This window comes from Homo sapiens, chromosome 9 (genome assembly GCF_000001405.40).
Source record: "Homo sapiens chromosome 9, GRCh38.p14 Primary Assembly".
Taxonomy (NCBI): Eukaryota; Metazoa; Chordata; class Mammalia; order Primates; family Hominidae; genus Homo; species Homo sapiens.
Genome location: NC_000009.12, coordinates 74,600,660 through 74,615,698, shown reverse-complemented (window position 1 = coordinate 74,615,698; position 15,039 = coordinate 74,600,660). Strand labels below are relative to the sequence as shown.

The 15,039-nt window shown below is 37.5% G+C and overlaps 1 protein-coding gene across 2 annotated transcripts in view; it reads right to left on the bottom strand.

Moving 5' to 3' along the window:
- Nucleotides 1–15,039, bottom strand: part of RORB (RAR related orphan receptor B) — a 195,843-nt gene that overhangs the window by 77,479 nt on the left and 103,325 nt on the right. Inside the window, exon 1 of one of the 2 annotated variants that reach the window (NM_001365023.1) lies at nucleotides 60–165. The exons of the other annotated variant lie outside the window; for it this stretch is intronic. Coding sequence (NP_001351952.1) covers nucleotides 60–99 — 40 coding nt within the window. The 5' untranslated portion in view covers nucleotides 100–165. Of the gene's footprint in view, nucleotides 1–59; nucleotides 166–15,039 lie in introns of those variants that run through there. 2 annotated transcript variants of the gene reach the window in all.

Sequence of the window (15,039 nt, the reverse complement as noted above, 5' to 3'; positions counted from 1 at the left end):
GCCTGGAGGATGGTCCATACAGCTAAATGTCAGAAGAGAGAAGAAAATGTAAAACTCACCAGTGGCGTCAGCTTTAGTTTTGAGCTGGTTCTCACACATTTTGACGTAGCAATTAAAAGTCTAACTGAAAAATATGATACTTTTCACTGGGGAGGTCTGAAGACTGCCCCTGCGTTAACCCACAACTTCAATCCCAACAGGCTGCATTAATGAGATTAAATGAAAGAGGAGTTAAAGGCATCAACGGCTCCATTTCATTAAGTAAGGGTGAAAGGCTGGCTCAGGCGCAGAAGGTGGGAGGGAGAATATTGGTTTTTCTTTTTGATGCTACTTATTCGCTAAAGAATGCAGCATTTGCTTAATAGCAATCAGCAACTTCAAGATGTTCCCACCCCCAAATTATATAGATACATATAATTTCTGCACTTAAATTCCCCTTTGTTTTCATCCTTTTGGAAACAGATTCGATATGCATATGGCATGTAACAAAAGTTATCCCTGTGACTATAAAAGTACAACATAAATTTTCTTCAGAATTAGTTTGTCTCAAATTATTTTGGATGAAAGATCGCATCAAGGTATTACCATGTTCCTATTCTGTCAAATATTGGATTACAGTTGTCTATGAAGTAGTTAATACAGCAGAGGAGCAGTTTATAGTCTAAGAAAATATGCACACCTAACAGGAGCAGCAGCAGCAAGAGAGCCTGAGCACCAGTGTAGAGACTTAACACCAGGTGACCTCACCGGGCCCCACACCTGAAGTCTAAAGTGACTTCATTTCCCCAGTGTGCCCTGGTGCTCCCACTTGTAAGAATGATGAAGAAACAAAGACAGAAATTTCTGATCCTTGCTAGGAAGGATAAATATATGAATAGGTAAAAATTGCGTTAACTTCCATGGGAACAAAATATGTTCTTTATATGAAAGCAAAATGCCTACATATGTATTAGCTTTATTTAACTTTACTTAGAGTTGCTCAGTTGCTTGCATGATGAATCTCAGATCTTTCTCTTTGCTCTTCTCATCCCCTACCACCTTTGAAAGCTCTTGATTTCTTTCCACTAATCACTTATCACAAACCTTTTCTTATTTTTTTAAAAATAAATTTTATTATGTATATTTAAAATATACAACATGATGTTCTAGGACACATGTATTGTACATAGTAAAATGGTTACTATAGTGGAATAAATTAACATATCCATCATCTCACATAATTACCCATTCCTCCTTGTGCCAAGAGCAACTATAATCTACTCATTTAGTAGAAAATACAATACACTATTATGACAAATGGCTTTTTTTTAAAAAAAAGAGGTTGTCTTTTAATTTAAAAAAGTGATATTTGAATATTAAACAAATCATAACATACACAAAGGTATAAAGGGGAAATTTTAATCTCTTTGTGTTAGCCCAACCCTCAGCCCTCCGTACTACCCCACTGAGTTACCCACTGATATTTCCTTGCTTCTTTTTCAGAACAAGTCTATGCACACGCAACCATATAAGTTGGTGGAGTGTAAATTAGTTCAGCCACTGTGGAAAGCAGGTGGATATTTCTCAACTTCAAACAGTACTGTCATTCAACCCAGCAATCCCATTATTGGGTATATACCCAAAGGAAAACAAATCATTCTACCAAAGACACATGCACCCATGTGTTCATCACAGCTTTATTCACAATAGCAAAAACATGCAATCAGCCCAGATGCCCACCAATGGTGGCTTGAATAAATAAAATATGGTACACATATACCATGAAATACTACACAGCCATAAAAATAATAAAATCATGACCTTTAAAGCAACGTAAATGCAGCTGGATGCCATTATCCGAAGTGAATTAACACAGGAACAGAAAGCAAATGGTTTGTTAATCCTCCTTTTATTCCTGTCTTCTCTTAAACATCTCCACTTTTCCCTGGCTTACATTGTAGTAGAACTGCTTTTTGATGGGGAGAAAGGCAAGGGGTGGAGAGGAGGCTGGGAAATCCATTCAAGATTATTTTTGGCATGGTAGAGCCGAACTTAGTGGTTCTCAGCTGTGGATGCCCATTGGAATAACCCAGAGAGCTTAAAAATATTGATGTCCAGGGATTTCCTTCTTACTTTCATTGATTTGTTTGGTGGGGGGCCAAGGCATCTGGAATTTTAAACACTTCTAAAGTAATTCTAACGGGCAGCAGGGACTGAAGACCCTTGGAATGGTCCTCAGAATCACCGGAGACATATGGCATAGATTCCTAACCCCAGCAACTACTGAGTCAGAATCTGAGGAGGGGTCTGGGAACCTATAGTCATAAGCACTTAGGTATTTGTTATGATTAGATACATTTGGTAAAAACTTTAGCAAAGAACCTTGGGCTTTGAGTTAACACATCTGGTTGTCACTTCTTGGGTAAATTACTTAACTATTTGTACCTCAGGCTACTCATGTCTGAAATCAGATTGTAACACTCATTAAGTCATAAAAGGAGTAAATGTGAAAGTGCTTAATATTGTGTCTGAAACACACTGGGAATTCAGTAAACATAGTTCAATATGAATCTTCATGCCTTTGTTCATCGTGGAGATATGCATTTTGGCTGTTGACTCTGGTTATCATTCATTCTTTCAATATTTATTAATTAATTCATAAGTAATTACTACCATTTGTACTTGGAAATAAATGTGATGAAGCTCACAGTCCAGTGTGTATTTAAATCCTGTGGATTTAATCCGATTTGATTGTTTTCATTGTAATTGTTATTTTTCTGTATTTTACAAGAAATAAAATTCTAACTTAGAAGATCTGTAGGTAATGAGGATAAGTAAGAAAACCATTTAAGAACTTCTTTTTTTTTGTCAGAAAGCAAATCGATCTGGGGGATACCAAATATCTGATGTGTTATAGTTCAAATTGTAGACAGAATTGTTCCCTGTGAACTACTTCAAGGTTATTAAATATTAACCTGAGTAAATGAAATTAATAGGCACCATTCATAGGGTGCTAAAAGCCAAGTATTAGGGGTAGAAACTTATACATCTTTATGTCTACTGAGCCTTGATAAAAATCCAGCTCCCGCTCTCGCAACCAGGAAATGGGTACAAAAGAGAATCAAAGGAGAATTAATAGCACAGAGTATGCTTGTCGCCTAGAAACAAAGGGCAGAGTTGGAGACAGGAGCTCAGATACGAGGGGTGGATCTAGCGTGTGTTCAGGAAAGAAGGAGGATGGCTAGTATGTCTATAAAGTTTCAGTTTTATCACATCACCTTCCTTATCAAAAACTTTTCAGCCCTCTAGGTTCCACAAAACAAACCCAAGCTCCTCCTTGGCCTACCTTTCTACAACCCGGGCCAGCTCTGTCTTCAGGCACTCACCTGTGATCCTAGGTCAAAGCCATCCATTCACCTGAGCCATCCCAAATGCCTCACTTCTCTGCCTTTTAATGCCACCTCTATCTCCTCCTTGAACTTCCTGACAGCCTCTCTCCACTCTGCTCCAATTACCCACACCTAACCTAATTTTGAAGACCCAGCTCAACTCCCACCACGTTTGCAAAGTGTCCCCTGACCATTTACCCACAGTAATTTCTGCTTACCCTGGGATCCTATGTCCCCACCACTCATTTGGTCCTGGTACTCTTCAATAATCCTGTTTATATGCTTCTCTTTCACCTTGACTATAAGCTCCTTAGGCATAAAACCCTCTCTTTGTGTGTCTCCCAGTGTCTAACATAAGGATTCAGTAAAATGAATGGAGTTGGCTGGGCATGGTGGCTCATGCCTGTAATCCCAGCACTTTGGGAGGCCGAGGTGGGTGGATCACCTGAGGTCAGGAGTTCAAGACCAGCCTGGCCAATATGGTGAAACATTGTCTCTACTAAAAATACAAAAAAGTTAGCCAGGCAGGGTGGTGGGTGCCTATAATCTCAGCTCCTCAGGAGGCTCAGGCAGGAGAATCGCTTGAGCCTGGGAGGTGGAGGTTGCGGTGAGCCAAGATTGCCATTGCACTTCAGCCTGGGCAATAATAGCGAAACTCCATCTCAAAAACAAACAAACAAACAAATAAACCAAGAATGGAGTTGATCAATGGGTGAATACACACTAGTTGCTTGACTCAACACTGGGGGACCATATAGGAGTCTCACCGCCTACTCTCATGATTTCCCCTAACTTGTGTTTTACATCGATGGCTCATCTTTGGGATATGTTTGCTTCCTTGCTTGCTGATGTTTAGTGGGGATGAGAGATAGTTTAAAAAGAAAAACACTTGCCTCTTTTTGTTCTTTATTTAATCATAGTTGGTTCTAAGTGTAGGAACAAGGAAGTTGAAACAAAAATCTTCTCTTCATTTCCTGTTTTCCCTTAATATACAACCTGTCCCTTCATCCCCTTGATCTGGCATTTAATTGTCACTTTGAATTGTTGTCCCAATGGTTTAGGTCTGTTTCTGTCCTGTTGGTAGATTTCATTTTCTCTGGTTAAGGGAGCTTAGCTTTAGAGGCAAGGGGGAGTTGATTTCTCCCCTGGGTAGCTCTCCCTTGACCCCATCTCACAGTAGGCAGCAGCTATTATGCACTTTTCACACTAACGTAGTGCTTACAACCGTCCCTAGTATCAGAAGACATTATGCTAGGGGGACAGAAAAGTTCTCCAACCACCCACAGCTGCCAAGATTCAGGGGGAAATGAGGGATAAATCCCCTCAAATAGAAGAAATGTCATTAAAAATAGCTTGATTTTATAGAAACCATCCCACGGAGGTTCTTGAAAAGTGTAGTCCCCAGACCAGCAAAGTCAGCGGCATCACTGGGAACTTGTTAAACATGTAGATTCTTAGATACCATTCCAGACCTACTGAATCAGAGACTCTGGGGGCTGAGCTCAACAATCTATGTGTTCACTAGCTTTCTGGATGGTTCTGAGGCATGCTCATGTTTCAGAACTGCTGGTTTACACCATGGGTTTTCTAGTCAGAAAGAGCTACATTTAATAAACAGCTCTGTTACTCACTAACTGTGTAGTCTGGATAAGTTAATTTTCAGATGTTTCAGTTTCATCATCTGTAAAATGGTGATGCTGTGGTCTGAATGTGTGTGTCTCCCCCAAATTAATATGTTCAAATTCTTACCCTCAAGATGATGGTATTAGGAGTTTAGGTATTAATTTAATTTAATTTTGCATAGAGAATATTTGAAGAATTTAAAGTGAGATAATTCCTGCAAAGCATTCAGTCCAGCCCTGGGCACATAATAAACATTCAATAACTTTGAACCATTACTAGGATACTATTTTAGTGGAGAATAGAAAGTGTTCCATACTTTAAAAATCTCTGTTATTTTTCTCTACAAAAATCTCTGTTATTTTTCTCTACATGTTTCTCAAAACTTGGCTGCATGTTAAAATCACTTGGGGAGCTTTTTAAAAAATATCTGATTCCCAAGAGATTTACATCAGACTAATTTAGCACGAAATTTTGGGAAGTGAAACCAGGCATTTTTATTTTACAGAAGATACCAAGATCTTTATGAGGTACAGTAAAATCTGCTGTTGCAATGTATTATAATCAATATTGTCATGAGAAAGTGTCGTGAGATTAAAAGCAGCTGAGAATTAATCATCAGTAATGTGAGACGCTGTATACATTATTTCCATGATTTTGCCCAAATTCAGTAGTACAGAAGTACAGAGAAATGCCAAAAGGCAGGTTCTAGAGCAGGGTTTCTTATGCTTGTCATTGATATTTTGGGCTGGATAATTCTTTTTTTCTCTGGAGCTGTTCTGTGTATTTTAAACATCCTTGGCCTCTATCCACTAGATGCCAGTGTTGCCCCTCACTTATGACAACCAAACAGGTTTCCAAATATTGCCAAATACCCCCTGGGGACAAAATAGGCCCAGTTGACAACCACTGTTCTAGAGTTTCAGTGGCTGGACACAAACCCAGGCTTTACTATGTAACAGTATGATTAGTGCAAGTTACTCAATCCCTCTGTGCCTCAATTTCTTCTGTGAAGTAGAGATGAAAATTATACCCAGCTGATAAAGTTCAGTTTTGCTGTTTGAGAAATAAAAGAGAAAATGCATATGAAGCACAGGTGACGGTGTCTGAAACATGGTAAATATTCAGTAAATATCAGCTATCAATTGTATGTTTATTGATAGTCTTATTTTGATTCCAAATCACTGAAAAAATTCTCCTGAAGTCTTTACATTGAACTCATGTATCCTTCTGGAGGCAGTATGGGTCATATTAAAAAGAAAAAAAAGAAATTTTGTGTCCATTCATTAATTTATCCTTTGAGTTGAGAATCAGAATGACCAACTACTCATTACCTCCTAGGGTCAACAGTTGGTAGATGATGGAGAAAAAAGCAATGGTGAAAGGATGTGTCAGCATTAGAAGAGGGTTCTGTTTCTACACTTCTCTAGCTATGCAGTGTTGGGAAGTTACAGCCCCTCAGAACCTTTGTTTCCTCATTTGTAAATTAGGAAAAATAATTACTATTTTGCGTATTTGTTACGAGAATTGAATCAGATAATATATGTGAATGCACTTAAGCCAATATTCTGGTATGTAGTAGGCACTAATTAAACATTTAATTCCGTTAAAATTATAGATGAAAGCATAGAAGGAAACAGTATGGGAATAATGGGGGTATATCTGTGTTTTTCTGAACTTTGACTTTGTATGACATCATTTTATCTGAATTGATGAATAAGCAGTGAAAAATATTTCTTCAGTCATGACAGCATTTTGTTCTGTCAAATCTGTATTGGCAAAATGAGGTATCTGAAGGGTACTTACTAAAATTCAATATTATTTTAATTTAGTCAATTCTTTAGAAGGCTGAAAGAATGGGTTAATCTATTTACAGTTTGGCAAATGCAAGAAGAAACTTGTGCAGTTTAATTTTTGTGCAACGTAGAATAGGGATTATTGCTTTAATTAGTAGTAAAATTATTCTGGCGACTGGGTTTGCAAATATCTTAACTTTGATTCAAATCCATGTTATAAAAACCATTCACAGTTTTAAGTATTTTCCCAACAGTACTTCTATTTATTTTTCATCAGAGGGAAAGTTATACAGATAACACAGATAACAGAATAGAAAACAAAGGAACTAGCAATTTTTTTTTTTTTTTTTTGAGACGGAGTCTCACTCTGTTGCCCAGGCTGGAGTGCAGTGGCGCGATCTCGGCTCACTGCAAGCTCCGCCTCCCGGGTTCACGCCATTCTCCTGCCTCAGCCTCCCGAGTAGCTGGGACTACAGGTGCCCGCCACCACGCCCGGCTTATTTTTTTCTTTTTAGTAGAGACGGGGTTTCAGCGTGTTAGCCAGGATGGTCTCGATCTTCTGACCTCATGATCCGCCCGCCTCGGCCTCCCAAAGTGCTGGGATTACAGGCGTGAGCCACCGCTCCCGGCCCAGAAACTAGCAATTTTCTTATTGTTAGGACGTGTTTCTTAAGCAAACACGTCCTAACTCAGTAGAAATCGAAGCTATTTAAGAATAGAGATCTGGATGTTAGAAAATGGCTGTAACAATCACTTCTTAAATTTTGACATTTGTTCATTTATCAAATACCTCTTTGTTGAGCGGATACTCTAGTACCTGAGTTAAGAACCTTACTTCATGGAACTTTCAGCCCATAAGCTCATTGTGCAGGAAGAGAAATAGACTTTCCTGGTTCTCATTCAGCATGTATTCAACAATGGGGAGTTCAGCACGTTGCAAAACAAGTACCCCTGTCGCATTCTCCTGCAACCAATTATGATTCCCTCCAGCCCATATGTCTGCAGTATGCCTAGAAACCTTGCTAAAATAAAAACACAATTCTGTGTTGCTTCACTGATCTTAACAGTATAGTATCAGAAATGCTATGAGATTAGTTTGTCATTACTTAATTTCTGGTATGCCCAAGATGACTACCAATGATACCACTTTACTTCCCAAGTCGTAAGGCTCTAGTCAGTAATTTGTCCTACAGCCATGGTGTAGAGTATCTATAGTGTCTGCAGTGCATGTGTGTCTATATGAATACATGTATATATGTATATAGATATACTTATGTACTTATGAATACACTTATGTGTGTGTGTATATATATAAATAAATATATATATAGTATAAACATGTGTCTATATGAAATGTATCTTTCCCTGTCTGCTTTTGAATGTAGGACATTTCACTTATTTCTAACTTCTGAAATGTTTTCATTTATCCAGGAATCACAAAGATTGCCATCAAAGAAGAAACACATCTGTAGTCCCCCAACATAGCTTTCATCTGGACACTTAGGCTTATGTAAAGTGGCAAGCCTCACCGTTACAATCCTCAACTCAGTGGTGAACTTCAATCCTGCCTTAATGATGTTTGTTCTACCTCCTTGCAGTCTGAAGTCATTTCCCTGAGTGGAGGAGACACCATTCAAAAAAATAGACAAAGAAATTGATAACATAAGAATCTTCCCCAAGGGATCTTAACTTGGAAGTTGACTTCAGATAAGTCCCTTCAGAAGCCCATATGTGATGAAGACTTCTATTATTTGGTGTCATGGGTGATGGTAGTAATTTTGCATGTTGCTGAATATGCAACATCGCAGGATGAGCTTTGATTGCTTTAATCCAGGAGACGTGGCTATAAGCTGCTGCACCTGGGACCTATATTATTATATATTAGTGCATGGGTTTCATCCATGCTAGCTCAGAATTTTCTACCAAAAGCATTCCTATCTCTCATGAGTCTGGTCTTCCATTGTGGTTATCACAACAACAAGAACAACAACAAATAGAATACCTGCTTCTTTATAAACATTAGTGCTTTTTAACCCTAGATGTGTAGGTTTGGTTCATTTATTGCTATTTTTTAGATCTCAGTCTGTTTCTTTTCTTTCTGTACAAAGGCACCAACAACATATACTCATTTACATAAGAACCCAACAATCCTGTCAGAAAGAATACAGGTACAGTCATTAGTGTTAAACCAACTTAGCTCTGTTCCAAAACCAGTGAAAGAGTTGAGTTTCTCATCTTACGTCTTCTAAGGAACATACTCACCAGGAGACAGCTTAACAACCAACTATAGTAAATTACTTAAAAATGTAGAAAAGTCCAAGAATGGTAGCATTATCTCTGTGTGCAGCCCAAGTTTGTGTTTGTAGAAGGAAATTTGTCCCTGAAGTATCTTACAAGGTAGAACTGTGCACGGTTCTTTTCCCTCGCTCATCCTGGGACATCTTACAGCCAACCAAAATCATGAATATTTTACTGAACAGAATGAGAAACAAATGTGGAATATAAAACCACATGAACAATTCACATTGCCAAACTAAATGTGGATTTAGCATCATTGAAGAACTACATCTTTCTAACTCAGAAGTGAAAACAGGAGTTTAGTCTACTTAAAGGTAAAAGCAGAAAATTCAGAGAGGCAACCAAAGGCAAATATATCATGCCATTCATTGTCTTCATTTTCTGATCTCTCCAGGGTCCATAGAATTAAACAGTAGTAATAGCTAGCATGGATTGAGAGCATATTACAGTAGGAGCCAGGCATTGTGTTAAGAGATTTAAATGCATTATCTCATTTATTTAATCACAACAACTCTGGGTGGTAGGTGTTAGTACTCTCAAGTAACTGGTGAAGAAACTGAGGCACAGCAGGGCTAGGAATGGAACTTTAGATTGGCGATTCTCCACATGTGTTCCTCCAATGAGTAGCATCAGTACCACCTCCTGCTCCTGTGTACTTGTTAGAGATACAAATTCCCTGACCCACCTCGAGTCTACTGAGATGTGGTCCAGGAACCCTAGGAATGAACATGATAGCAATCTGTGTCTGAAAACGCTCTCCAGCCTGATTCTAATGCTTGCTAACATCTGAGAACAACAGCTTATATTACATAATTAATAATGTGGATCCATGTCTGTTTGAGCATTTAAGCCCATTCTCTAAATCACGTGCACAATATATAGACTTGTTTACAAAGGTGAGTGATATTTAGAGCATTTCAAGAAAGACGTACTTTTTAATGTTTAAGTACTAAATATTGACATTTCTTCTATTTGAAGAAGTCTTGAAGAATTGTGCTTCCAACCCCCATACTTTCAGTAGGGCTAGGTGATCTTTGCCAGCAAAGACAGACTACGTATTACAGAAGCCTTTTCCTCTTTAATCTAAGGAGCAGACAGACACCGGGTCACTTCCTTGCTAGGAGCAATTTGGTGGCTACCATGGTGGACACACCGCCTATACTGTGGAAAATACAGTATGTCATTGTTGTTGAAGTTTAAATTCCCCAAAAGGCCCCTGTTGGGATACTGCTGGTCCATAGGAGGTTACTGACCAACAATACCATGAGTTTTTGGTTTGAAAGGCTATCTACAATCCTCCTAACCCTCGTGAAATTTGACTACCTGCCGTAAATCTGTTTCCGAATGAGAATTGTCACTTGTTTTTTCTTTCTACCTTTTAATCATAGACATTAGGCTGGGTCGACATTTTCATCATTACCATTTTTACTTATCATCATTAATACATATGCTATACTTAATGTTGAATGTTATTTCGGGACTGAATGAAAACATATTAAACTCTCATTTCCCTAAAGAAAGAAAAAAGTACAAAGAGAAATACATGTGCACAGTGATCTCTCTTCTTTTCTTTCTAGGATGAAGGGTTACTACATAAAGCTTGGGGGCTTACCATACTTTATCAGAACAAATGAAAAAGTACTGAATGTGAATACAATTTAGCGAATGTAGCAGCATTTGCATTTCCATTTTATTTACTTTTTGTTTCTTAACCTTAACACTTACTAGTTGTTCAAGTTGCTGTCCTAAATACTATTAAGTGGTAAATGAAAATTGTTTTCAAACTGCTTGAAAAGCATTATTAAAATATAGCTGCTTTGGGGGTCAACAAAGCCTGGGGAATCTTCAGTGATAAATGTCATATCAAAGACTTAAAAGACTTCTTCTTCTACCTTATTTAAACAATTTATTTTTTCCTGGGCTGAGATAAAAATTGCCAAGTAGAAATAATTGCTATTTAACACCACTACACTTACTAACAAATAATAATTGGGTGATCTAGATAAATAAATGTTGAATTATTATCTTATGGTTGAAAATTAAGAGCTGTATCCCAACGGCTAAAGAATTTTTCAGATGAGTAGGAACATTTTACTAAAGAACAATATATATTGTCAACTCTGTGATAAAAACAGTCATAGAATGGATAACCCAATTTGCCCATGCCCTTGCAACTAGTGGGTCCAAGAATAGTTAATACTGGGAATCTAAAAATGATCTTCTGTTTGCTAAAGGCAGTTGATGGGTGATGTGTTGAATGCACAGCTGCCTTAGGTATGTTTTAGAAAAGTGCTTATTCTGATTTTCTGAAGAGAGATTAAATGGCCTTGCCAAGGAGTTTATATTGCTTAGGGTATGAAAAAGGCAGGCTCGTTAGCATCCCTCAAAACAGGCAAGGATTCAAATAATATTTATTCAAAAAATGAATCAACCTGTGAATTAAGACCTCATCAGCATTGGATATGTCCTGCCTTATTGGAGATTCTAGATCATTAGTTTAGAAAATAATAGGACATTTTTAAAATAATTGTGTTCTATGTAAATTATAGGGATGTGAGAAAAATAATATTTAGTGCTTAAGCTACCTTTCCATATACAAGAACATAGTACCAGCTTGCACTGATCCGTTCACGTGGAAGGGAATAAACTCTCTCCTCTTTCCTTTTAGCATAATAGTTAGGACGATGGCACTCAACCTTTTAATATATTATTACAGCACACTTAAGCAAGGCAAAGACCTCACAGTCCGCTTAGCCCACCCATTATCACTTTCTAGTGGATTTCCAGCTCTCTGTGTGTCACACAGGCAAAATAGCAACTTTACAATGTGTTATGTCAGCCTGAACCCTTGGTAGAGTGATGTATTAGAGCCATCTATAAACTATCTAATAACATGTTCATTTTAGTTTGTGAATACCAACATTTTAATAACTCCTAGTAATGGACTAAGTAAGTTACTGGTGAATTTGTCCTTATTCTTACATAAAAATGAAACTCAGTGGAGTAATTATTTGTGTATTATAAGACCTGAGATAAGGACTTGTGATAGTTAATTAGAGTCTTGCCTGGAGGAATTCATGATCCTCCCAGTGGACTGAGACTGAATCTTTGGGAAACACCAGTTTGTGGCATGGGCTTTGGACTTGTGCTCATATTATGACTAGTCCACTTAAGAGATGCATCCTTAGTCAACAGAATCAACCTCTCTGTGTCCAACTTTCCCCATTTATCAAACTGGTGCCATGATTCCTTCCTTGTGCTTGGCAAATAGAAAGCGGTCAGAAGATGGTGGTTGCTACTGAGCATGAAAACTGCCCGTCCTGTGGCTGAGCTCACTGCCATTGCACCAAAGAGAGCTGCAAAAGCCCAGACATGATGAGTGCCTGTGTTTTCTTCATCACTGAAGGTTGGGCATCCTCTCTGAGAGCCACGACTGGGCATATGCATGTTTTGGGGTTGAGTACCTGAAACTCTTCTGACTTGGCAGATCATGTATCAAATAGAGCTGCTCCTACAGATCATGCATTCCTTCCCCTAGGAGCTAGTTCTTATTCCCTACAATTCCAAGACAAGGAAAATTACACCTACTGATTAATTCGGCAATAAATTCTTACCAAATGCATACTAAATGCCTGGGCTTATACTCGTTTACATTAGCTAGTTACATGAGCTAGTTATCCAGCTAACAAGTTGCTTGTTATTTTGGGAGAGCATTATAAACATTATCATTCTTATGGTAATTATAACAGCAATAATAGTTACCATAAATAATAATACTTTATATTTAAATGGCACTGTACATTTTTAATTTAAAAATTTTCACCATTTATAAATGAAACCAATTTATACAGTGAAAAATTTCTCTACAGAGCAGGAGAAAAGGCATTAAATAGCCAGATACAGGGAAAGGATTTGCCAACTAAGTGTGGGATTTCTTTTGGGGGAGAAAGGTGCTACATAACTCAAGAATTGTTAACTGTCTCCCCCTCTGTGGGTATGGCTCAGTTCCAACAAAATAGCTTAGGGTCATAACAGTCTGTTAGTAAGGTCAGCTGCCAAGGACGGATCGTCACTTGTCATCATGTGTATCCTGTTATCATTAGGGCTTCGGAATCAAACACTGCATTAAACATTTCTCAAATACAAATCCAGAAGTCCTTTCCTCACTATCAAAATGTCCACCTCTGCTCTTTTCATTTAGTACCAAACACAGTGCCAAAAGGTATCATGCATGCATCTTTAACATTTATTCTTTAAAACAACAATATAGGATTCATTCATTTAGTCATTGCTTGGAAAATTATTAAGTGCTTATGATGCTTCAGGTCCAGATACTCATTAAACAGTTTCTATAACAAATTTTACATCTTGCGATTTTTATCTGAGGAAAAAAGCACAAAGTCCCAGCAAAAAGGTCATCGTGGAAGACATTTTATTTGGCTTGGGGAGACAGTGCGTGAAGGTTGCCTTCTAAGGTTTGTGATGTTTCCTCTAAGCACAATGAGGGCAATGATGTTGATGGGGACCTGGATGGAAGTTAAATGTGCCATGATGACATAGTGGGGCCCCTGGCTCAGCATGATGGAGGGCAGGAAGTGTCGGTGTGGGACTGGCCAGCACACCGTTCTGCTGACCGTGTGAGAAGCTAAGTTCAAGGTCTACTTTTGCTTTTAAGGTGTTTCCTTGTCACTGTAGCCAATGTCAAAATTAAGAAGTTGCTTTGCTTGTTCAACTCATCTCTTCTAGTGGGTGAGTGAATATCATCTAGGCTGAGAAAAAGGAAAACTCATTCACTTCCATTCACCCCCTAAAATACAACCAGTGATTAGGAATTTGGAGGGAAAGTGCCCACATGACTACAACTCCTTATTTCTTTTGCTCTTAATCAGAAGGTCTCTATTAATCAGACAGGTGGGCAAATAGGATTTCTAGCAATGTCCCACGGTAGGAAGTCCTTCCATATTGAAAATTTTGGAAATCTCACAGGAAGCTTTGTAGTGAGAAATCGTAGAGAATTGAGTAGTAATCTTTTTTAAACTTCCAAATTTAATGTGATGTCCTTGAGGGAAGACAAACTTTTATTCACACGTTAGAACTTGTTTATGCATAAAATATCTCTGACATGATAAACAAGAAACTGGTAAAACTGATTGCCTTGGGGAGATGGTTAGGCATGTGAGGGGAACATATCATTGAAAACCTTCTCTGCAACTAAAATATTTTATATATATATAATATATATATAATTCACATATTCTCTATGCAAAATTAAATTAAATTAAAATTTAAAATAAAAACCACAATTGTTAAAAGATTACTTTTAGTGGATATGTAATATTTCTTGATGTGATGTGCCTTAATGTATTCAAATTTTTTCATAAGTGAATGTTTAAGTTGTTTCTAAGCTTCTTTTTCCTACTATAAATTGCACATGTCTGTTTACTTCTCTTATTCCTAGAAGAGGAATAGCTAAGAAAAAGAGTATAATTATTTCAAAAGTTCTTTGAAACATTGAACATTGCATGAGCATGCCTATCTCATGCCTCTTACTGACATTGAGTGTTATTATTTTTAAAAAATAGTAATTGCTAATGTAATAGGTGAACAATGGCCTCTTGAAAACTTCATATTATAATACAATAACATATTTTACCTCAGATTGCCTTTTACCTGCCACTTAACATGAATTTTTGGCTCTTATGTGTTTTGTATCAAGCATTAGTCTAACAGAATTATAATTTTAAAGGGAAATCTGCTCAACCCTAGATAGAAGTAGTCTGTAGATTTCCCATAATTTTGGTAAACTATACATTATTTTAGATATTCACTGGGTAAAGGATACAGTTAATTATCAATGTAGAAGATGTACTGATAAAATAGGACTTATACTTCAAGAAAAAATTTCAATATATTAATGTTGTTAACTCTAAAACCTTTGAAATATTTTAATATCTTGA